This window comes from Homo sapiens, chromosome 1 (genome assembly GCF_000001405.40).
Source record: "Homo sapiens chromosome 1, GRCh38.p14 Primary Assembly".
Classification (NCBI taxonomy): Eukaryota; Metazoa; Chordata; class Mammalia; order Primates; family Hominidae; genus Homo; species Homo sapiens.
Genome location: NC_000001.11, coordinates 235,703,809 through 235,724,696, shown reverse-complemented (window position 1 = coordinate 235,724,696; position 20,888 = coordinate 235,703,809). Strand labels below are relative to the sequence as shown.

Below are 20,888 nucleotides of genomic sequence, written 5' to 3'. Positions count from 1 at the left end.
ATTGGGGAGAGGAAAGGAGGGATGAGTAGGTGGAGTACCGAGGGTTTTTGGGGCAATAAAACTATTTGGTGGATACATGTCATTATACATTTGTCAAAACCCATGGAATGTACAACACAAAGAGTGAATATAAACTCTGGACTTTAGGTAAGAAAAATTGTAGCAATATTGGTTCATCAATTGTAATTAGTGTCCCACACCAAATGCAAGATTTAATAATAGAGAAACTGTGAGTGCAGGGCCAAGGGAGGGGAGGATACGTGAGAATTCTGTATTATCTGCTCAATTTTCTGTAAACCTAAAACTAGTCTAAAAAATAAAGCCTATTTTTTTTATTTCTAAATTTTATCATTCATTTTGAGGTGTTTTGCATTGGGAGAGTTTTCAGGTAATCTTATCTGCCATCTGCCACAAAAAGATTTTCTGTTTTATTTTGATGCTTTTTAAAATCTAAAATTAAAGTAATTATTTATATTTCCGGTAAAACAAATATTTTTGCCTATTTCTTTGTCTTAGAGCCTTCAGGGAGAGTTGGAACCAGCATCATTTTCCTGGACATATGAAGAAATTAAAGAAGTTCACAAGCGTTGGTGGCAATTGAGAGATAATGCTGTAGAAATCTTTCTAACAAATGGCAGAACACTCCTGTTGGCATTTGATAACACCAAGGTAAATTCACCCTTATTAATTGATATATATTGTTTAAGTGCTCATGGGCCACTGTAACTATACTCATACTGATTACATGAAGGTTTACTGAAATCGAATAAAATTGCCATGTTTCTTAGTCCTGATTAAAGTGAAGCCTTTGTTATATGAGGATTGTCTTTGACCTCCACAGTGAGGTAAATTCTGATTCCCCAAAATGACTGAAAGGAGTAATTTAAACTTGCTCAGTGCTGTAGCAGGGTCCATCTTTGACAAACTCTCTTGACCTCTAATCCCTTCGGCCACCATTTCTCTGCTCTCCTTTATGGAAAAACTGTTGGGGAAAGTTGCATATGCTTGCTGCCTCCAGTTTTCTTTTGAAATGCTTCAGACAGACTTCTCACCACTCTCGTCAGGGTCATCGGTAACCTCTATGTTGCTAAACCCGTAATGTCATAATCTTTCTTTGTCCCCATTTTACTTGACCTATTGGCAGCATTTGACCCAGCTGATTTTTCTCTCCTTAAATAAAACCTTCCTCCCTGGGCTTCTGGGTTACCATTTTCTCTTAGTTCTTATACCTTACCAGCCATTGCTTCTCAGTCTTGGTTGCAGACGCCTCCTTGGTGTGTTGCAGGGCTCCTTCCTCAGACCTCTTCTCTTCTCATCCAGTCTTATGACTTTAAAATACCATCTGTATTCTAACAACTTACACATTTATGTCACTACCCAAACCTCTCCCCTGAATGCCACACTCACATATTGTAACTCCCGACTGATGTCTCCATTTAGAAGTCACTAATTGACATCTCAAACGTAACCTGTACAAAACTGAACTTCTAATCTTCCCCCCATAATTTCCTTCCAGTTTTCTCTATCTCAGTAAATGACAACTCCATCTTTCCAATGCCCAGGCCAAAACTCTTGAGATTATCCAAGACTCTTGTTCTTCTCTCATACCCTGCATACACTCTATTAATAGGTTCTGTTGGCTCTGTCCTCAGAATACATCGAGAGTCTGACTGCTTCCACTGCTACCATCCTGGTTTAAGCCACTATCATTTCTTGCCAGAATCATTTACAGTAGCCTCCTAACTGGCCTTCCTGCATCCATACTGTTTCTGAAATCAAATAAAAATTGCCATATTTCTTAGTCCTAATTAAAGGAAAGCCTTGGTTATATGATGATTATTTTTGACCTCCAAAATTGTGTTAAATTCTGATTCCCCAAAATGACTGAAACGAAGTAGTTTAAACTTGCTCAGGGCCGGGCACAGTGGCTCATGCCTGTAATCCCAGCATTTTGGGAGGCCGAGGCGGGCAGATCATGAGGTCAGGAGTTCAAGACCAGCCTGGCCAACATGGTGAAACCCCGTCTCTACTAAAAATACAAAAATTAGCGGGGCATGGTGGCACATGCCTGTAGTCCCAGCTACTTGGGAGGCTGAGGCAGGAGAATCACTTGAACCTGGGAAGCAGAGGTTGCAGCGAGCCAAGATCACGCCATTACACTCCAGCCTGGGCAACAGAGTGAGACTCCATCTAAAACAAAACAAAACAAAACAAAAAACTTGCTCAGTGCTGTAGTGACTTTCAGCTACAATGACTTTGACAAACCCTTTCTTGACCTCCAGTCCCTTCACTACCATTTCTCTGCTCTCCTCTATAGAAAGCCCCTTAGCCCCCCTTCAGATTATTCTCAACACAGCAGCTAAAGTATGTTGGATCATATCTTTTCTCTGCTCAGAATCCTTCAATCACTTTCATGTCACATTCAGTTAAAGGCAAAGTCCTTCCAATAACCTGATAAAGCCCTGGATAATCTCGTACCTTGTTACCTCTCTGACGTCATTGTCTGCTGTTCTCTCCCTCGCTCTGTCTACTCCATCCATGCCTTGAATGTCAGGCACACCAGTGCCTCGGGGACTTTGCATTCATTGTTGCCTGGAATGTTTTTCTCCTTAGAAATCCTAATGATTTGCTTTGTCACTTTTTCAAGTTTCCTGATCAAATATCTTCTTATCAGAGAGGCCCTCCCTGACTCTATAAAGTAGCCACCCCTCCCTCTCCACCAAGCACCCCTTACCTCCTTTACTTTGGTCTGTTTTTCTCTATAGGATGTATTAGCATCCAGCATTTTCTGCCTCTCCCCAGTAGAATGCCAAGTCTTTACTTTGTTAAGTTCCAGTTCTTCAGAATTTTGAACACTACTGGTATGTAGGTATTCAGTTCATATTTGTTGAATAAATGAATGCCTCCTTTTCCTTCCAGGGCTTGGCTTATAGTCTGTCATAAATCCCCTTCCGTGGACCTTAGCGCTAACAATTGGCAAACTTCAGATTTAGGCTACAGGTTTAGGATGTTCTATTCTCTGTGGTTTTGCCTATTCCACAACTACCAGTACATTTCCTCATTAAGTTCACTCTCTCATTATCCATATCTGTGGCTCTTCTTCCTGTGTCTGAAGCATATACCTGCTTAGAATGGGTATTTCATATCTGTTTTTAGCAAAGCTCGTCTTGTCTGTTTTTTTCATTTATTAGCAATCATTATTTAATTGCTTTAAAAGAACCAATACCCCTTTTCTGTGACAAAACTATTGTGAATCTCTAAAAAAGAGTTTATATATGTTTTCAATCAGTAGTGAAAATCAAATATCCTATTTACATAGGATACTTTATTTAATTCTTATGAGAGAAATATTATCACTCCCATATTATAGACATGGTAACTGTAGCACAGAAGGTTAGCAGGAAAATATACCAGATCTGTCCAATTCAGAAGACCGTGCTGTTTCTACTACACCATATTGCATTTATTTAGAAGAAAACTCTTCTTTTTTCCTTATTTTTTTTTCTTTTAGTATCTGTGTCTTAAGTGACTTTTCTATACAAACTTTTTCTTAGAAGGTTTTTATTAACATATTTCTGCAGCAGTAAAGCATAGTGGTGAAGAGCCCAGCCTCTGGAGGACAACCTGGACTTGAATCTCAGTTCTCTACCCATTAATGTTACTGAGAAAAAAATCTTTTTTTGGAGGACATGAGATTTGTAACATGTCTATAATGTCATGGGTTCTTTGGAGAAAAGTGCCAATAAGACTAAAAATAATATCTGGGTTTTTTTCTTCTCCTTCCCTTTTAGGTTCGTGATGATGTATACCACAATATACTCACAAATAACCTCCCTAATCTTCTGGAATATGGTAACATCACCGCTCTGACAAATTTATGGTATACTGGGCAAATTACTAATTTTGAATATTTGACTCACTTAAACAAACATGCTGGCCGATCCTTCAATGATCTCATGCAGTATCCTGTGTTCCCATTTATACTTGCTGACTACGTTAGTGAGACACTTGACCTCAATGATCTGTTGATATACAGGTAAGTTAAAAGAATCATCACCTTTAGGGTTCATCCATCCATATGTTGTATTTCTTTATTAAAGTTTTCATTATGAAAAATTTCAAACATGCACAAAATAGAAGAATTATATAAGACCCCACATACCTATCACCCTGGTTCAACAATTGTGAATTATGAAGATTTTTGCCAAACTTACATTAACTTTTTTTTCTTATTTAAGGCAAATTGCAGACATCTTGTTATGTCACTTCTTTGTTCTACAGTATGCATCTCTTTAAAAAATAGAACATCTCAACCACAGTGCTATTATCACATGTAAGAAAATTGACAATAATTCCATGATATCATCTAATATCTAGTCCATTTCCAAATGTCCCCTGCTTCTCTCAAAGATAGCTTTTTATAGTTGGTTGTCTTGAATCAGGTCCATTGTCATGTTTGGTTGCTATATCTCTGAACATATACCTAGAATAGCCTTTTTTTTTTTTTTTTTTTTTTTTTTTTTGAGACAGAGTCTCACTCTGTCACCAGGCTGGAGTGCAGTGGCGCAATCTCGGCTCACTGCAACCTCTGCCTCCCGGGTTCAAGCGATTCTCCTGCCTCAGCCTCTGAGTAGCTGGGACTGCCGGCACCTGCCACCATGCCCAACTAATTTTTGTATTTTTAGTAGAGACAGGGTTTCACCATGTTGGCCAGGATGGTCTCTATCTCTTGACCTTGTGATCCACCCACCTTGGCCTCCCAAAGTGCTGAGATGACAGGCATGAGCCACTACACCCAGCCAGCCATTATTTTTTATGTGTATTTTTTCTCTTTATTTTCTCCTGACATTGACTTGTTGGAAAAACCAGGTCACTTATTCTTTTGGAGGCTTCACATTCTGTATTTTCTGATTGCTTCCCATGACGTCGTTTGGTTTGTTCCCATAACCCCTGTATTTCCTAGAGACTGGAAAAGTCTTGCTTAGTTTCAGGTTCAACTCTTTTTTTGGCAAGAATCCTTTATAGGTGGTGATGTGAGCTTTATATATATTTTCCTTTTTTTTTTTTTTATCATTCTGCATGGTTGAGAGGAGTGAGCTTTATATTGTATCATATCAGGAAGCCTATGATATTCCACTGTAATGGTGCTCAGTTTGATCTGTGGGCTCAGGCTCCCATTGAATTTGTACCTAATGGTTTCATCCATTGATGATTATTGCTTGAATCAATTATTTCACTAGAGGTTGCAAAATGTTGATTTCCCATTCTCTCATTTCTTCTAAATTTATTAGAAGAAAATAGACAAGGTGAGCCTAGGATGTTTTGTTGTGTCAGAAAGCGAGGAAACTAATATGGTCTTGTCAAAAGGACTCAGAAGTTGGCCAGGCGTGGTGGCTCACTCCTGTAATCTCAGCACTTTGGGAGGCCAAGGTGGGCTGATGGCTTGAGGCCTGAAGTTCAAGAGCAGCCTGGCCAACATGGTGAAACCCTAACTCTATTAAAAATACAAAATTTGCCGGCCGTGGTGGCACATGCCTGTAATTCCAGCTACTTGGGAGGCTGAGGCAGGAGAATTGCTTGAACCTGGGATGGGGAGGTTGCGATGAGCCGAGATTGCACCACTGCACCCCAGCCTGGATAACAAGAGTGAAACTCCGTCTCAAAAAATAAAAATAGAAAAGGACTCAGAAGCCAACTTGAAGTGCCTCTCGCTGCCAAAGATAGGATAGTCTGAGAATAAAAAGAATAATGACTGCAATTAGTTGAAACACATGGAAATAAAAAGAAACGTAAGGTCATAGTGATACTTTTTAAAAGGCCAAGGAAACACAGTGAAACAAAATTCATTGGTCCCATTAGAGGTAATAGGGCACCAATTCCTTACTTTGAAATTTGGCAATTAAAGGAACAGAATTCAGCATTTATTCTGCCTTTCCTGAATGAACTGTATTTTAGAGTAACCAAATAGTCCTAGTTGATGAGGGAATATTTTGTTCGTTTAATATGAAAAAATATTCTGATGTTTAGTTTAAAGAAAAATGGACTCCAAATATTTCACTTAGTATACTAGAGTATTTCAGCTGTAAGTGCCAAAGAGTGGGCCTAATTCAGACAGTTCTCAAGAAATCAGATTTAAGCTGGGCGCAGTGGCTCAAGTCTGTAATCCCAGCACTTTGGGAGGCCAAGGCAGGCAGATCACCTGACGTCAGGAGTTCGAGACCAACTACTCAGGAAGCTGAGGCATGAAAATCACTTGAACTTGGGAGGCGGAGGTTGCAGTGAGCTGAGATCATGTTTGGGTGACAGAGTGAAACTGTCTGAAAAAAAAAAAAAGTGAATATGCTTGCACAGATAAATACAAAAACATCTGGGTGTGTATAGACCAACATGTGTGGCCTAGGGTAATAGTATTGTGGCTGATTTTTAGTTTATTGTTTGCTCAACTGTAATTTTGTATTTTTCAGCTACAACTATTAACATAGCTTGTGTCCAAAAAAAAAAACCCCTATTTATACTATCTATAAAAAATTGCAGGCCAGGCGTGGTGGCTCACGCCTGTAATCCCAGCACTTTGGGAGGCCGAGGTGGATGGATCACCTGAGGTCAGGAGTTTGAGACCAGCGTGGCCAACATGGAGAAACCCCATCTCTAATAAAAATACAAAAATTAGCCAGGCGTGGTGGTGCATGCCTGTAGTCCCAGCTACTTGGGAGGCTGAGGCAAGAGAATGGCTTGAACCTGGGAGGCAGAGGTTGCAGTGAGCTGAGATCACGCCACTTCACTCCAGAGTGAAAAAAAAAAAAATGTAGGCAGCCATCTTAAGTGATTTTGCTCTGTTTTTAGATGTTAATTTGTATCTATTCTATAAATTGTTTTTGCTTTTTAACAAGGTTTTTATGATTAGAAAAATCTCAAAGACAAAATTAGTGCATTTAATACAACTAATTTCAACATTCCTAGAAAATAGTAATTTATATTAAAAAAAAAAAGATGTATCAACATGTGGTTAAGCAGACCTGGTTTGACTCACTGAAATGTAGGCAAATCTTGCTGTTGGTCTAGTTATGGTGCTGCAGGTTGAAATCCAGGTGGTCCCATGCCTGTGCCAGACCAGATGGTTCCTCAGCCAAAAGAGCCTGCCCTTCTTCATCAGAGCTTTTTCTTTTGCTCCTTCAAGTGCCACACAGGGACACCACATGATTCTGTAGCTTGTAAAAGTGAGGATTCATTCCTGGAGGGATGAGAATTCATTCTCCTGCTTCAAGGAATGGTGTCATGTGGTGTTCACAGAATGTGAACACCGGCACTGACAGATTTGTACGCATGCATACATACTCTACACTGTGCGCAATGGTATTACTCCCCATCTACTAACTAGGTAGCAAAATATTTATTTCAGTTCTCAGTCTCCAAATCTCAGCTTGGTCATTTTAAGCACGTGTTGTTTCTTCAGTTTTAACTAACTAGGCTAATAACACAGCATCTTCCTCTGTTCCTAAGTTCTGTCGAAACTGCCCTTCATTCTACACCGCCTAACTGGATGTAGAGTCTGGAAAATGGGACACTAACTTTCAGGGCTTGGTCTAGGAATCTGCTCCCACGAGCAACATCAGTTATGACTCTAGAGGAAGCTGCAGAAGTAAGGGAAAGAAGGATAGTAGTAGCCCTTCTTATTTAGGCTACTTGTAAGTCAGGAATTCCTAATACTGGCCTGGCTCTGTGGGGAAAATTCTACCTTAATTTCTGAAATCATAATTTTGAATGGTGACTGTTAGTTACAAAACAATATGTTTAAGCAGAGAAATAAGGGTGGAGCATTTTGTTGACCACTTACCTACTTACAAGATGCAGACATCTAGGGAGCTTAATCTTGACAGTATCAAAATATTTAATTTTTAAAATTGTCCTTTTCTTGCAGAAATCTCTCTAAACCTATAGCTGTTCAGTATAAAGAAAAAGAAGATCGTTATGTGGACACATACAAGGTAGCTTTTGTTTTTACTCGTACTTTATTAAATGAAAAATTGTGTTTTGTTTTACAGACTTGTGTTTTACCTAATTTTAAATTTATACTATGGATTTTTTACCTTCTTGTACTAGGATTGACAGACAACTAGAAATCATTATGTGAAATGAAATATCATTTTCTATCCTGATTTTCTGAGAACACTTTGCCCAGAAAAAGAATACACTTATTTTGGCATAAATTGAAAGCCAGTAACTCATTGTTTATTCCAGTATTTAGTAGTCACATTCCTTATAAAAATCACAAAGATTTCCAGGGACCTGCTATTCGTATCCCCTAGTGTTATTTATGTAATAGTGTTAATATATTTATAATGTACCCATAACCATTAGTCATATTCAGGAAATTATGCATTGGTTTATTAAACAAAAATTTATCAGATTTTAACATTTTAAAAATAAAATGAATTACCTTTTTCTGTGAAATTAATATTAATGAAATTCTATTGGAAATTCAAAAATCACAATAGCTACGCATTACATTCTTCACGAGTATCAAGACAGGAGCAACTGAAACACTTTTCTCATATTCATCACATTATTTTATGCCACAGTTCCTGAAACATCCCTCTAAGCATCTTATGACTGTCACTACTTGATTCTTCAGCAGTTGAAAATGCGTCATTGCTGTGGAAATCAAGAAGTAACTCTTGAAAATTCACTATACCTGACTTTGTTATCAGAACCAGACAGAAGCTATGGGAGACAAGAATAGTGACAGATATTAAATGTTTGGTTGAACTTCCTACTTTATGATGGGAAGATAGGAGTAGTGAAAAATCACCATATTCTTTTTTTTTTTTATCTCTGATAACTGCACTGTAAAACAGACTTAAAATGTTATATTATTACCAATAATGTGACATAGTTTTTACATTTCTATTGCATTTCTACTTCTAGAGAAGCAGTTCTCTAGACAGCATAGCATTACATCTTGAAACTCTTTTGAAATGAAGACATCTCTAGTGACAGAAGCACCTCTCATTTGTTGGGTGCTTGATCAGCTTAGACATTATGAGCCATTAGTTAGGAGGTGGAGTGCTCAAAGTTAGGTAGGTTTTCTATGAGGGAATGAAAGAGTGAAGGTGGAGATGAGAAATGCTTCTGAGTGTTTGGGTCTTAGTGAGGCACCAAGGAGAAGACTCCCAGACACTCAAGGAGGCTGAAGTCTCCTGGGTAAGAGTGGGAGGGCCAGCCATGGAGAATGGCCTCAAAGGGGTAGTAGAGAAGGAGAGAAAAAAAAACATCCAGCACTTTTCTAGCGTTGCCTGGAGCCCACAATCATGAATTCTCTGGATTCACCGTTTCTTTCAGTACTTGGAGGAAGAGTACCGCAAAGGAGCCAGAGAAGATGACCCCATGCCTCCCGTGCAGCCCTATCACTATGGCTCCCACTATTCCAATAGCGGCACTGTGCTTCACTTCCTGGTCAGGATGCCTCCTTTCACTAAAATGTTTTTAGCCTATCAAGGTAAGAATTTAATAACTGCCTAAAAAGTCATGTTGGGTCATCAGAAACAACAACAACAACAACAACAACTTAGGACTGACATTTTAAGAACTATTAAGACTAATCAAACTACAGGAAAAAGAATTCTATTTATTCCTTGCCCAAAGTGCTCCTCAAAAAAGCTGTAGTAAGCCAAATCATCTTGCTAATGTCTCAAATTTTAGCTTCAAATTAAATGTCTAAGTTTATAAAAATGCAATTCACTTTTTAAAAATTAAGATATAATTCACAAACCATAAAATTTACCCTTTTAAAGTTTATGCAGTTCACTTTTTAAAGACATTCTACCTAATACTTATTTCAAATCCAGTAAGTTACCTTTGGAGCCTATGTACATTATTGCAGTTTATTATAAAGGCAAGTACATTATTGAGGTTTATTATAACTAGTTAATAAAAGACGCACACCGGCAACTTCACTGTGGTAGCTTTGTAGTTAATAATCTTCTACATCAGCATTTTAAGTGACAGACTGGAGGCCTGAACATGACTTAGATAGGAGTGAATTTGTATTTTTGTGGAGATTGGGACATACTCACCTGTAGTTTCTAATGAGAACGGTGATATTAGTTCTATAGCTGTTTCTCATGGAATCCAGAATACTTTGAGGAATCATTATCCATTCTTTTACTCAACCATTCTTGAACTACTTCATGCTTTTTACTCATGTACAACCTATTGGAGGAATGAATTTGTATTCACTCTTATTGGTCTATAAAAGGGGCTTTCCTATGTTTGTCTCTCTGTAAGTAAACAGAACAAATGTTCTATATGACAGCTGTTCAAATATTTGAAAATTGTTGGCCTGTTCCCTTTCTCTCTCTCTCTTGTTTTTCCCCTGGCTAATTATCCTTGGTTAATTTGACGGCAGATTGAGGGCCTCCTGGATGCATGGTCCTATCCCAGCTGCTGGAAGGAATACCAAAAAATAAATAGGACAGTTTTGTACTAAATAAAGAGTTTTTAAAACCAATGTTTAAGCCATCCTTGTTTGCTGTGGTTTCCAAGCCTGTCACTATTCTGAAGATCTTTCTGGACATGTTCTGATTTGTGAATGCTCTTGATGAAAAGAAAAAGGCAGTCAAAATAAAAAAGAATATTTCAGATGTGGTTTGGGCCCCTACAGTGTTTAACAGAACTATTACCTCCCTCCATCCAAGACTACATTTCATTTAATGTAGCCCAAGAACCCATTAATATAAAACTACCAATCAACTAAAATTTATCAATATTTTTATTCATGTTACTATTATGAATGTATTCATATATTATGTTTTCTTCATTATGTATTTATGAATATATTTTGTTTAAAACCTAGGACTACCTCAGTCTCCATTCACTTTCATCTCATTAGTTTCAAGTGATATCTGTTGGCTTTTGAATTTATTTCTTGGCTTTGGTTTAATGCAGGGATTCTCCACCTTGGCACTGTAGTCATTTCGAGCTGCATAATTCGTTTGTCATGGGAGCTGCCCTGTGCATTGTAGGACGTTTAGCTGTATCCCTGTTCTCTCCCTACTAGTGCCAGTGGTACCACCACCACCCACACCCCATCCCCCCAGTTGTGAGAATCAAAAATGTTGCTAGACATTGCCAAATAACCCCTGGAGGGCAAAAGTGCTACTGGTTGAGAACCACAGGTTTAATATATGCATATTCTAGATAATGGGAATTTGTAGTAGTACTGTTTAATAAAATGTAGGAAAATACAGAGAATCTTAAAATCTGAACAGAACCTACCCAATGTGCTACTCTTGTTCCGTATTTCCTTAGTCTTAGCTCCAGATACTTTGACCTCACCATAGCCTTACAAAATTACCTTAATTTTTCTTTTAGTTTTTTTGTTTGTTTTTGAGAATTACCTTAATTTTTCTGAATTCCATTTTGATTGATAACTTTTTCTACTAAGTTAGTAGGTATTTCTTTAAGTGGCCCTCCTTACTTTCTGAGAAAAAGTAAATGTTTCTAAACCTTATTTCTTCCCAGATTTTTTTTAGTGGCCAGCCAATGCCAATTGACTCAACAGAATAGATGAGAAAGTAATACAAGTGACAGAAGATGTTGCTCAGCAGAGCAACTAAGGCTGGGAGAAGAAACCTGATGCTGCGATGTGTTTGTGGCAGTCTCCAAATGAAAAGATGTGTTCAAATTTCAACAAGTTCAGAGGAGTTTTAGATGATGCAATATGGTTCCTAAGAAACATGTAAACTGCTACTGTTTTCAGAGGCTAGCTTTTGGATATCATTTAATATTCTAGGCCTTTCCCTATGGCTAGAAAGTCTGATCATTGTTGGCAGAAAAGAGAGTCCAAACTTAATTCTTTATTATTAATAGTCTACCCTGGAAAAAAAATGAACGAAAGAGTGACTATGCTTATTTTTATTTTCATTCACAGGAAATTTTACTCAATTCTTTAGCTCAGAGTTAGAACACCAAAAAACAATGCACCGTAACCTACGCACCCCCCCGAAAAAAAAGAAAGAAAGAAAAGAAAGGAGAAAAAGTAGTCTTAACAATTCAAAGTGAAGGAATCATGCTTCCTGATGGGGAAAAAACTGTTTGCCTACTTGAACTTAAATCTTCCTTCTTCATTATTCATTCATTCAATAAATAAACCATGATTGAATACCCATTATGTGCAAGGTGTGGGTGATATCCCAGGGCCCTGTTTTTGTGGAACTTTCATTCTACTTTGATAGATAGACGAAAATTAAACAAATAGATGATATAAACTAATCTAATAATATATATTACAAAAGCATAATACAGATGAAAAATGTAATATGATCTCAAGTTTATAGAAATATTTATTTTCAAGAACATGAATAACTTCTTTTAAACTATGGGCAAACAAAATTAGCATTATTTTAATCTTTTTGAAGTGGCAAAAGTAAATTAATTATGATAGGCCTCAAATAGAATTAGGTCTTTGTGTCTTAATCGTATTATTTGTATTTTTTTATAGATCAAAGTTTTGACATTCCAGACAGAACTTTTCATTCTACAAATACAACTTGGCGACTCTCATCTTTTGAATCTATGACTGATGTGAAAGAACTTATCCCAGAGTTTTTCTATCTTCCAGAGTTCCTAGTTAACCGTGAAGGTATAGCAATAAATTATTTTTAATTTATATTTCTGAGGGCTTGTGGTTATTTTGTAATTTTCCAAAAATGAAAATAGCTTTTTTAAGTCCTAAAAATTTTTGAGTCCCCAAATAAGAGAAAATGTTTTTTATTAAGTATATAATTCTATTTTCAAATAAGCTTGAGGATTTTAAGTATTTTATAGGACTAAATATGTTTGGAAAACTGTAACTTTTAACTATTAAAGTTATTTGTAAATATGTATTTTAATTTTATTATAGAAATTGCTTTATTCTTTTTTCTGAATACAAAAGTTATAATGTGCTAATTACTTTAAAAATAAGAGGTATGACTTTATTGAAAGCAAAATGTAAATTAACTGAAATCTCAATTATTTTATGAGGAATGACCAAAATAAAAATAAAATACTCTGCCCAGAATTATCTAATAACCAAAAGGAATACTGGAGTATAAAATCAAATTTTCTGTGATGCCAACTAACAGTCTTGGCTGCCAACCTTAGCTATTCTTAAATAGAAGAGCAGCTAACCCTTTAAGGGGTATCTTTGGGTCATTTTCTTATATTACTTAATTCTATAATTTTATGTGATCCTTAAGAGCATATGAAACAGCTTTAAGAAGTTGGTGTTGGGCAAATTACATTGGAATTTTGTTGTATAGTATCTGTGTCTCTGAGGTTGTTTGATTGATTATTGAATCATCAGTAGATTCATGCCACCCTGGAGCTTATTTCATAGTGTTGCTCAAGTGAGAAATGCCTCAGTCAAACATCAGCACCTGCAATTTGGGGCACCTGCCTTGAAGCTTTTCATTTAGGACTCCTGTTTAAATCTACTCCTTGTTTTCTCTGTCCATGGTCTCTTATATGTATGTTCTAGCTATCTGTGGCTGTATAACAAATAATCTCAACACTTAATGGCTTGAAACAATAATAAATTTATTATCAATCACAGATAATAAAATTATTTTTTATTGGTCAGAAATAAGAAATTGGTCAGAAGTTCAGAAACAGCTCAGCTAGATGGTTTTAGCTCAGGGTGTCTCATGCTGTTGCCTTCAGGTTTTCTGGAGCTGGAACAGGCAGGAGATGAAGCCTTAGGCAGCTGGAGCACATCACCCTCTCTTCATGCAATGTCAGTGTTTTTTCATGTGGTCTCTCTGTGTGGGCTAGTTTTGGGCTTCCCCACAGCACGGCAGCCCTGGATGTCCTACTTGGCAACTCAGGGTTCCAAAGACAAGTGTTCCAAGAGGGAGACGAACAGAGGCTGCATGGCCTTTTCCAGCCTGTTCTTAGCAGCCACGCAGCATCACTTCCACTGTATTCTTCCTATTCATTGAGGCAGTCACAAGTGTCTTCCCAGATTCAAAAGAAAGGAAGATAGACTTTGCCTTGTGATGGAGAGTAGCAAGATTCTGGAAGGGCATGCAAGACAGGAAATGCTGTTATAGCCATTTTTGGAAAACACAGTTTTTTACAGCGTATATCATATCATTTCCTATCAGTGTTCCCCTGGGACTCTCGTATGTCAGTTGTCTGCTTTGGGTCAGGAGTCAGATGTTCCCTCAGAACACCTGAAAGTTGGGAAAGATTGAGTTTGTACAAATGCCCTTATGCACCCCATCCCCAGCCCATTCCCAGATGCCTCATTCACTGTTAAATAAATAAGTTCCTGCTGCTGCCGCTCCTGAAGCCACACACATGGAGTTCTGCAGGTGCTCAGCCAGTCCATCCTAAATCAACCATGCAGCTGCTCTGTACGATGACTGCTGAGCTTTCTGAGATGCTCACATCCCCATCCCATGTGAATTTATATAAACCCTTGATTTATATTCCATATCATATCATTTCAAAATACTTCCCAAGTATTTTGGTGAAGATCCTTCTAACTGTTTTTACAAGATCAAAAAGTAGACAGACAGCAACTTAATTTTACATGGAACTTAATCAGCTTTTAAAAGGTCATTTTTAATTTTTGTTATGGTGTTCAGCAAACTAGAAAATGTAGCACAAAAAGCCATTTCTGTTTAAAGGTAACATTTCCTTTAGGATAATTTTTTTAAATAAACACTTCTGAGATTTTTGTTTATACTGATGAGACAATTAGATATTAGCTCATTTACATCACAGAAGAACCCTCTTATTTCCTGTGTTGGGATAATTTTGCTATCTACAGGAATGCTTAGTAGAAAGGAAGTCAGAACAGACCCATAGACTTATAAAATTAATAGACTATGGCAATTCATTCTAACAATGTGTATACTTTATATTAGTTGAGTTTTTAAACTATAGAATACTAATATTTACTAAATATAATCTTAAATTTATTAAAATGTTAATACCAATAGTTTAGAAATGCTTCTACAAAGCCTTAGTTTGATTCTAATCAGGTTTACAATTGAATAGATATTTAAGTACTTAATGCCCTTGAAGATGTGAATAGTCAGAATATTGGAATTAGTAGGCAATGGTTTTCTCCTTTTCTTCAATATGTTGTAAAGTGGTAGAAGGATAAAGTTGAAAGATCTCAAATTTAATTATGATAGCATTAGCTCACATAGCCCTATTAGTAGGTACATAAGTAGATGAGCAGTGGTGTTTCTTATTCAAAATGTAAATCCTCCTTGCTATTCCCTTTTTTGGTTGTAGCACACAAACAGCTATTTTTGTGAACTCTTAAGACCTGCTCTGTAGCTGAATGAAACTTGCTGTGGGGGAGTTAAATATTAATATTAATCTTCTCTTTTAGGTTTTGATTTTGGTGTGCGTCAGAATGGTGAACGGGTTAATCACGTCAACCTTCCCCCTTGGGCGCGTAATGATCCTCGTCTTTTTATCCTCATCCATCGGCAGGCTCTAGAGTCTGACTACGTGTCGCAGAACATCTGTCAGTGGATTGACTTGGTGTTTGGGTATAAGCAAAAGGGGAAGGCTTCTGTTCAAGCGATCAATGTTTTTCATCCTGCTGTAAGTGACTCTTTTAAAACAATCTGTATTTATATAAGATAGAACCTGAATATTTTAAGGTTAGTTGTTCGGCCATTCCTTTAAAACACTCAAGTTATCAAAGAGAATTGGTAGTAGCATTAAACTGTCACCTAAGATTTTTCAGGTTTTATATTTCCTCTCTTTAAAAACAAGATACTATCTTTTTCAGAGGTGCCCCAAAACAATCCCCAGGTTTGATGATTCACTAGGTGGACTTGAGGATTCAGCATATAGTCATCCTTCCAGCTCAGGTTTATTACAGTAAATGATACAAAGTAGAATCAGCATGGGGCAAAGTCTGGGAGAAAGCAGGCACAAACATCCAAGAATCTACCCCTGGTAAAGCACAAAAAGCATACTCAGCCTCCTCCAGCAACGAGTCATAATGACACATGTGAAATGTTGTCTGCCAGGGAATCTCATTAGAGGCTCAGTGTGCAAGACTTTTATTGAGATTGGCAACGTAGGCACCCTCTGCCTCGCACATACTGAAATTCCAGCCTCAGAAGGAAAGCAGGTGTTCGGTATAAACTGCATTGTTTGTACAGTTTAGGCACAGTAAGCCACTCTTATCAGTTAGGGAATGGTAGGACCTCTCCTGAAATCCAGGTTCCCAGACAACAGCCAAGAGCCAACTTTGCAAGCAGGCCTTTCCAGAGATAGCAGTCAATCTTGCTATGTTAACTCTTTTCCGCACACTATCCTACATACATGTTCTACTTTAAAATGGCACCATGTTTTCTTATTACAGAAAAAGTACTTGTACTTTGTTAGAAAAATGTATAAAATACAGACTAGCAACAGGGAGAAATTTTAAAGTCCACTTTAATATCACCATCCAGAAATAAATAGTGAAAGCACCTTTAGACTTCTATCTATACATATGTATCATTCCATTTATATAATAATAATAATAATGCTATTTGGTAACCTTATCTTCTCCCTAAATAAGATAATCTTAAATTTATTCAAGTCATTGGGTATCATTCTACATTATTTTTAATGGCTACTTACTATAGGTAGAGCATTCTTAATCCAAAAATCCAAAATTCAAAATGCTTCAAAATCAGAAACTTTTTGAGTGCCAACATGATAATCAAAAGAAATGCTCATTGGAGCATATCAGATTTCAGATTTTTGGATTAAGAATACTGAACTGCTAAGTAAATAATGCTAATATTCCAAAATCCCCCCCCAAAAAAACCCTGAAATCCAAAACAATTCTGGTTCCAAATGTTTGTATAAGGGATACTCAACCTATATTCTTAAGTATAGCTATAGAATAATTTATTTAGCAGTCTTCTATTGTTGGATATTTAGTTAGGATTTGTTTGCTATTAAAATTAATATTTCTATGGTTATTTTTATGTACATCTTTACTTCCTTAAGATAAATTCCTAGAAGTAGAATTGTTACATTTTTACTTTTTATTTATTTATTTATTTTTGAGATGGAGCCTTGCTCTGTCACCCAGGCTGGAGTGCAGTGGCGTGATCTCAGCTCACTGCAACCTCCACCTCCCAGGTTCAAGCAATTCTCCTGCCTCAGCCTCCCAAGGAGTTGGGATTACAGGCGCCCACCACCGCACCTGGCTAATTTTTGTATTTTTAGTGAGACAGGGTTTCACCATCTTGGCCAGACTGGTCTCAAACTCCTGACCTCGTGATCCACCACCTCAGCCTCCCAAAGTGCTGGGATTACAGGCGTGAGCCACCATGTCTGGCCTACATTTTCAAGTATACTTTTTGATGTTGTTGGCTAGACTAACTTTAGAAAAAAAAAATCTTACCTCTTCAGGAAACATTTATTTTGCTAGGTGCTGGGGATGCAAAAGTAAATAAGACTCAAATAGGGTGAAGGGGGTTAGGAGGAAAGCCAACTTTCCTCTCCAAGGTAGATGGGCCTGCCTGGATGTAGTAGTAGAGTCCAAATGAGGCCGCTGAAAGGAAATCCCTCAAGGAGTGGGAGGTGAAAAAGCAGATTCTGAAAAGAAAGATACTTCCTTTTAAAAGGAAATATCTGAAGGACTTCTCCACTAACTGTAATTTTCTGTGTCGACTGTAGCAAATCTACAAGCGTTTATAACAAATACAGGTAAAGTGCACACACAGAACCTACAGTAGACCACTCCATATCTGAGCTTATTTAGGCCAGTAGTCCATTCCCCAAAAGTAGCTTTAAAATAAAAAGCTCATTAGTTCATTTTGTTCCATAATTATTTTGAGTACGTCTGAAGTCATATAAAATTAAATTTCTTAAGAGATTTATAATCTAGAAAAGAGAATAAGATAGGCTTCCTAATTATTCTAATAGAAGATAAATGCTATGGAAAAGTTCATTCTAAAAAAGGAGAATAATATAGTTTCATTGGTGAATAACAACTTTACATATAATATTAATATGTAAGGGAGAAAAAATGCCTTCTTTTCCTCAGGTTCACTTGCTGGAGCCTCTGCAAAATAACAAAAACAAAGAAAAACAAAAACCCAGATTAACAAGAGAAAAGCATATAAATTTATTTAATGCAAGTTTTATGTGGCACGGGAGGCTTCACGTGGAAATAAGACCCCAAGTAGTTAAACCTGAATGTTTTTATGTCTGGTTTGATGAGGAATGGAATGTCATGAAGAAAAATGATAGGACAAAGGAGTAGGAGCTAAGTGTGATTAACCAGGGGAATAGCAGGACCTGTTTGTTCAGATTCCTCTGTGTCCCTTTGTCTTCTGAAATGAGGGTGCTTCTTTACTACAGGTATAGGGAGGGTAACTCCTAAGTGAAAATCTTATGATCTGCTTCAGGGGAAAGCCAAAAAGTCCTTCGTGCACATGCTGTTCCTCAGATTCCTTCAGTATGCCAGGGTACGAAATTTTGGGGTTGTGTGTCCTAAACTCCATCAAGTATAAAATAAATGCAAGGCTTCGGGTCTGATTTTTGAGCTTCATTTGATTCCAAAATGCAACTTTAAAAGCAATTAGGAGGCCAGGCATGGTGGCTCATGCCTGTAATCCCAGCACTTTGGGAGGCCGAGGCGTGTGGATCATTTGAGGTCAGGAGTTCAAGACCAGCCTGGCCAACATGGCAAAACCCTGTCTCTACTAAAAATACAAAAATTAGCTGGGTGGTAGTGGCTCTTGCTTGTAATCCCAGCTACTTGGGAGACTGAGGGAGGAGAATTGCTTGAACCTGGGAGGTGGAGGTTGCAGTGAGCCAAGATCATGCCACTGCACTCCAGCCTGGGTGACAGAGTGAGACCCTGTATAAAAAATAAAAATAAAAAGAGCAATTAGGAATCTTAACATTAACTTCATTATACCCTTTTTGTTTATAATCCTGAACCATCTTTTCAGTTATTCTTATATAAAATTTACATTAAAAGTATCACTGGGCCAGGCACAGTGGCTAATGCCTATAACCCAAATGCTCTGGGAGACTGAGGCAGGATGATCGCTTGAGGCCAGGAGTTTGAGACCAGCCTGAGCAACATGGTAAGAACCTGTCTCTACAAAAAATTTAAAAATTAGCTGGGCATGGTGGCACACTCCTGTAATCTTAGCTACTCAAAAGGCTGAGGCAGTAGGATCACTTGAACCCAGGAGTTCAAGTCTGCAGTGAGCCATGATCGTGCCACTGCATTCCAGCCTGGTTGACAGAGCAAGACCCTGTCTCAATTTTTTTTTTAAAAAAAAGTATCTGAAGACTGAAATACACATGGTAATTCTCATCTGACTGGAATTTTTTTTCACTAATTCTTTGGGACTTTAGTAACTTTTAGAAGGATAAAGTTTATGCCATCGTTAAGAATTTAATAAAACTTATTTAATGGGGCAAAACAAAGTATGGCGATTAAGTGCAGAGACTCTGAATTAAGGATTGAGTTCAGATCCTCACTCTGTGACTCTGCCACTTGTTGTGTGACCTTAGGGCAAATATCTTGACCTCTCTGTACCAAAATGTACAAACTTGTCAAATGTGAATAATAAAACCAACCTCATAAATGAGGAAGGAAATTCATGTAGGATAATGTCTGCTAACACAATTAAGCACAAATAAATGTTAACTTTTTAAAAAGGCATGTAGAGATGCCTGTTGCCCTTAATGACCGTTCACTAATACATGGGGTTCACTTAGAAATGAATACCACAGAATGTTGAAAAGCACTATTTTAAAATAAATTTTAAAACAGTTCTAGCTACAGGAGTGTATCAATCCTTATTTGATTTTTTGAGTACATTAAGTAGCCATTGCAATTGGCCTTTCTTAGATAAGTGTTTATAAAAAGTATTCACAACAAGAGCAACAATTGACAAGTGGGATCTAACTTAAGAGCTTCTGCACAGGAAAAAAAACTATCAATAGAGTAAACAGACAACCTACAGAATGGGAGAAAATATTTGCAAACTGTACATCTGACAAAGGTGTAATATCCAGCATCTATAAGGAACTTAAACAAATGTATAAGAAAAAAACAACCTCATTAAAAAGTGTGCAAAGGACATAAACAGACACATTTCAAAACAAGACATACGTGTGACCAACAAACATATGAAAAAAAGCTCAATATCACTGATCAATAGAAAAATGCAAATCAAAACCACAGTGAGATGCCGTCTCCCACCAGTCAGAATGGTTATTACTAAAAAGTCAAAAATAACAGATGCTGGCGAGGTTCTGGAGAAAAGGGAACACTTGTACACTGTTGGAGGGAATGTAAATTAGTTCAACCACTGTGGAAGGCAGTGTGGTGATTCCTCAGAGAGCTAGAAACAGAACTACTATTCTACCCAGCAATCCCTTTACTAGGTATATACCCAAAAGAATGTAAATCATTCTACCGTAAAGACACATGTACATGAATGTTCACTGCAGCACTAGTCACAATAGCAAAGACATGGAATCAACCTAAATGGCTATCAATGACAGATTGGATAAAGAAAATGTGGTATATATACACCATGGAATACTTTGCAGCCATAAAAAAGAACAAGATCATGTCCTTTGTTGGAACGTGTATGGAGCTGGAGGCCATTACCCTTAGCAAACTAATGCAGGAACAGAAAACCAAATACCACATGTTCTCACTTGTAAGTGGAAGCTAAATGAGAACTCATGGACACAAAGAGGGGAACAACGACACTGGTGCCTATTTTAGGGTGAGGGATAGGAGGAGGGAGAGGATCAGAAAAAATAACTACTGGGTACTAGGCTTAGTACCTGGGTGATGAAATCATCTGTACAACAAACCCCTGTGACTCAAGTTTACC

The 20,888-nt window shown here is 37.4% G+C and overlaps 1 protein-coding gene across 10 annotated transcripts in view, besides 2 other annotated features; it reads left to right on the top strand.

Moving 5' to 3' along the window:
* Nucleotides 1–20,888, top strand: part of LYST (lysosomal trafficking regulator) — a 222,683-nt gene that overhangs the window by 159,017 nt on the left and 42,778 nt on the right. For 8 of the 10 annotated variants that reach the window (XM_011544032.2, NM_001301365.1, XM_011544031.2 and 5 more), the window contains 6 exons: nucleotides 517–669; nucleotides 3,792–4,036; nucleotides 7,919–7,985; nucleotides 9,340–9,496; nucleotides 12,500–12,640; nucleotides 15,389–15,606. In XM_011544032.2, coding sequence (XP_011542334.1) covers nucleotides 517–669; nucleotides 3,792–4,036; nucleotides 7,919–7,985; nucleotides 9,340–9,496; nucleotides 12,500–12,640; nucleotides 15,389–15,606 — 981 coding nt within the window. Of the gene's footprint in view, nucleotides 1–516; nucleotides 670–3,791; nucleotides 4,037–7,918; nucleotides 7,986–9,339; nucleotides 9,497–11,520; nucleotides 11,737–12,499; nucleotides 12,641–15,388; nucleotides 15,607–20,888 lie in introns of those variants that run through there. The other 2 variants (XM_047443027.1, XM_011544035.3) reach the window with 1 other exon arrangement.
* Nucleotides 2,296–3,495: an enhancer, noted in NCBI's record as "BRD4-independent group 4 enhancer chr1:235884502-235885701 (GRCh37/hg19 assembly coordinates)". NCBI's record gives its function as "activates an origin of replication core promoter dependent on BRD2, P300/CBP, MED14 and CDK7 cofactors, and independent of BRD4, by STARR-seq in HCT116 cells {active_cell/tissue: HCT116}" and the evidence as "EXISTENCE:reporter gene assay evidence [ECO:0000049][PMID:35650434]".
* Nucleotides 15,254–16,453: an enhancer, noted in NCBI's record as "MED14-independent group 3 enhancer chr1:235871544-235872743 (GRCh37/hg19 assembly coordinates)". NCBI's record gives its function as "activates an origin of replication core promoter dependent on BRD2, BRD4, P300/CBP and CDK7 cofactors, and independent of MED14, by STARR-seq in HCT116 cells {active_cell/tissue: HCT116}" and the evidence as "EXISTENCE:reporter gene assay evidence [ECO:0000049][PMID:35650434]".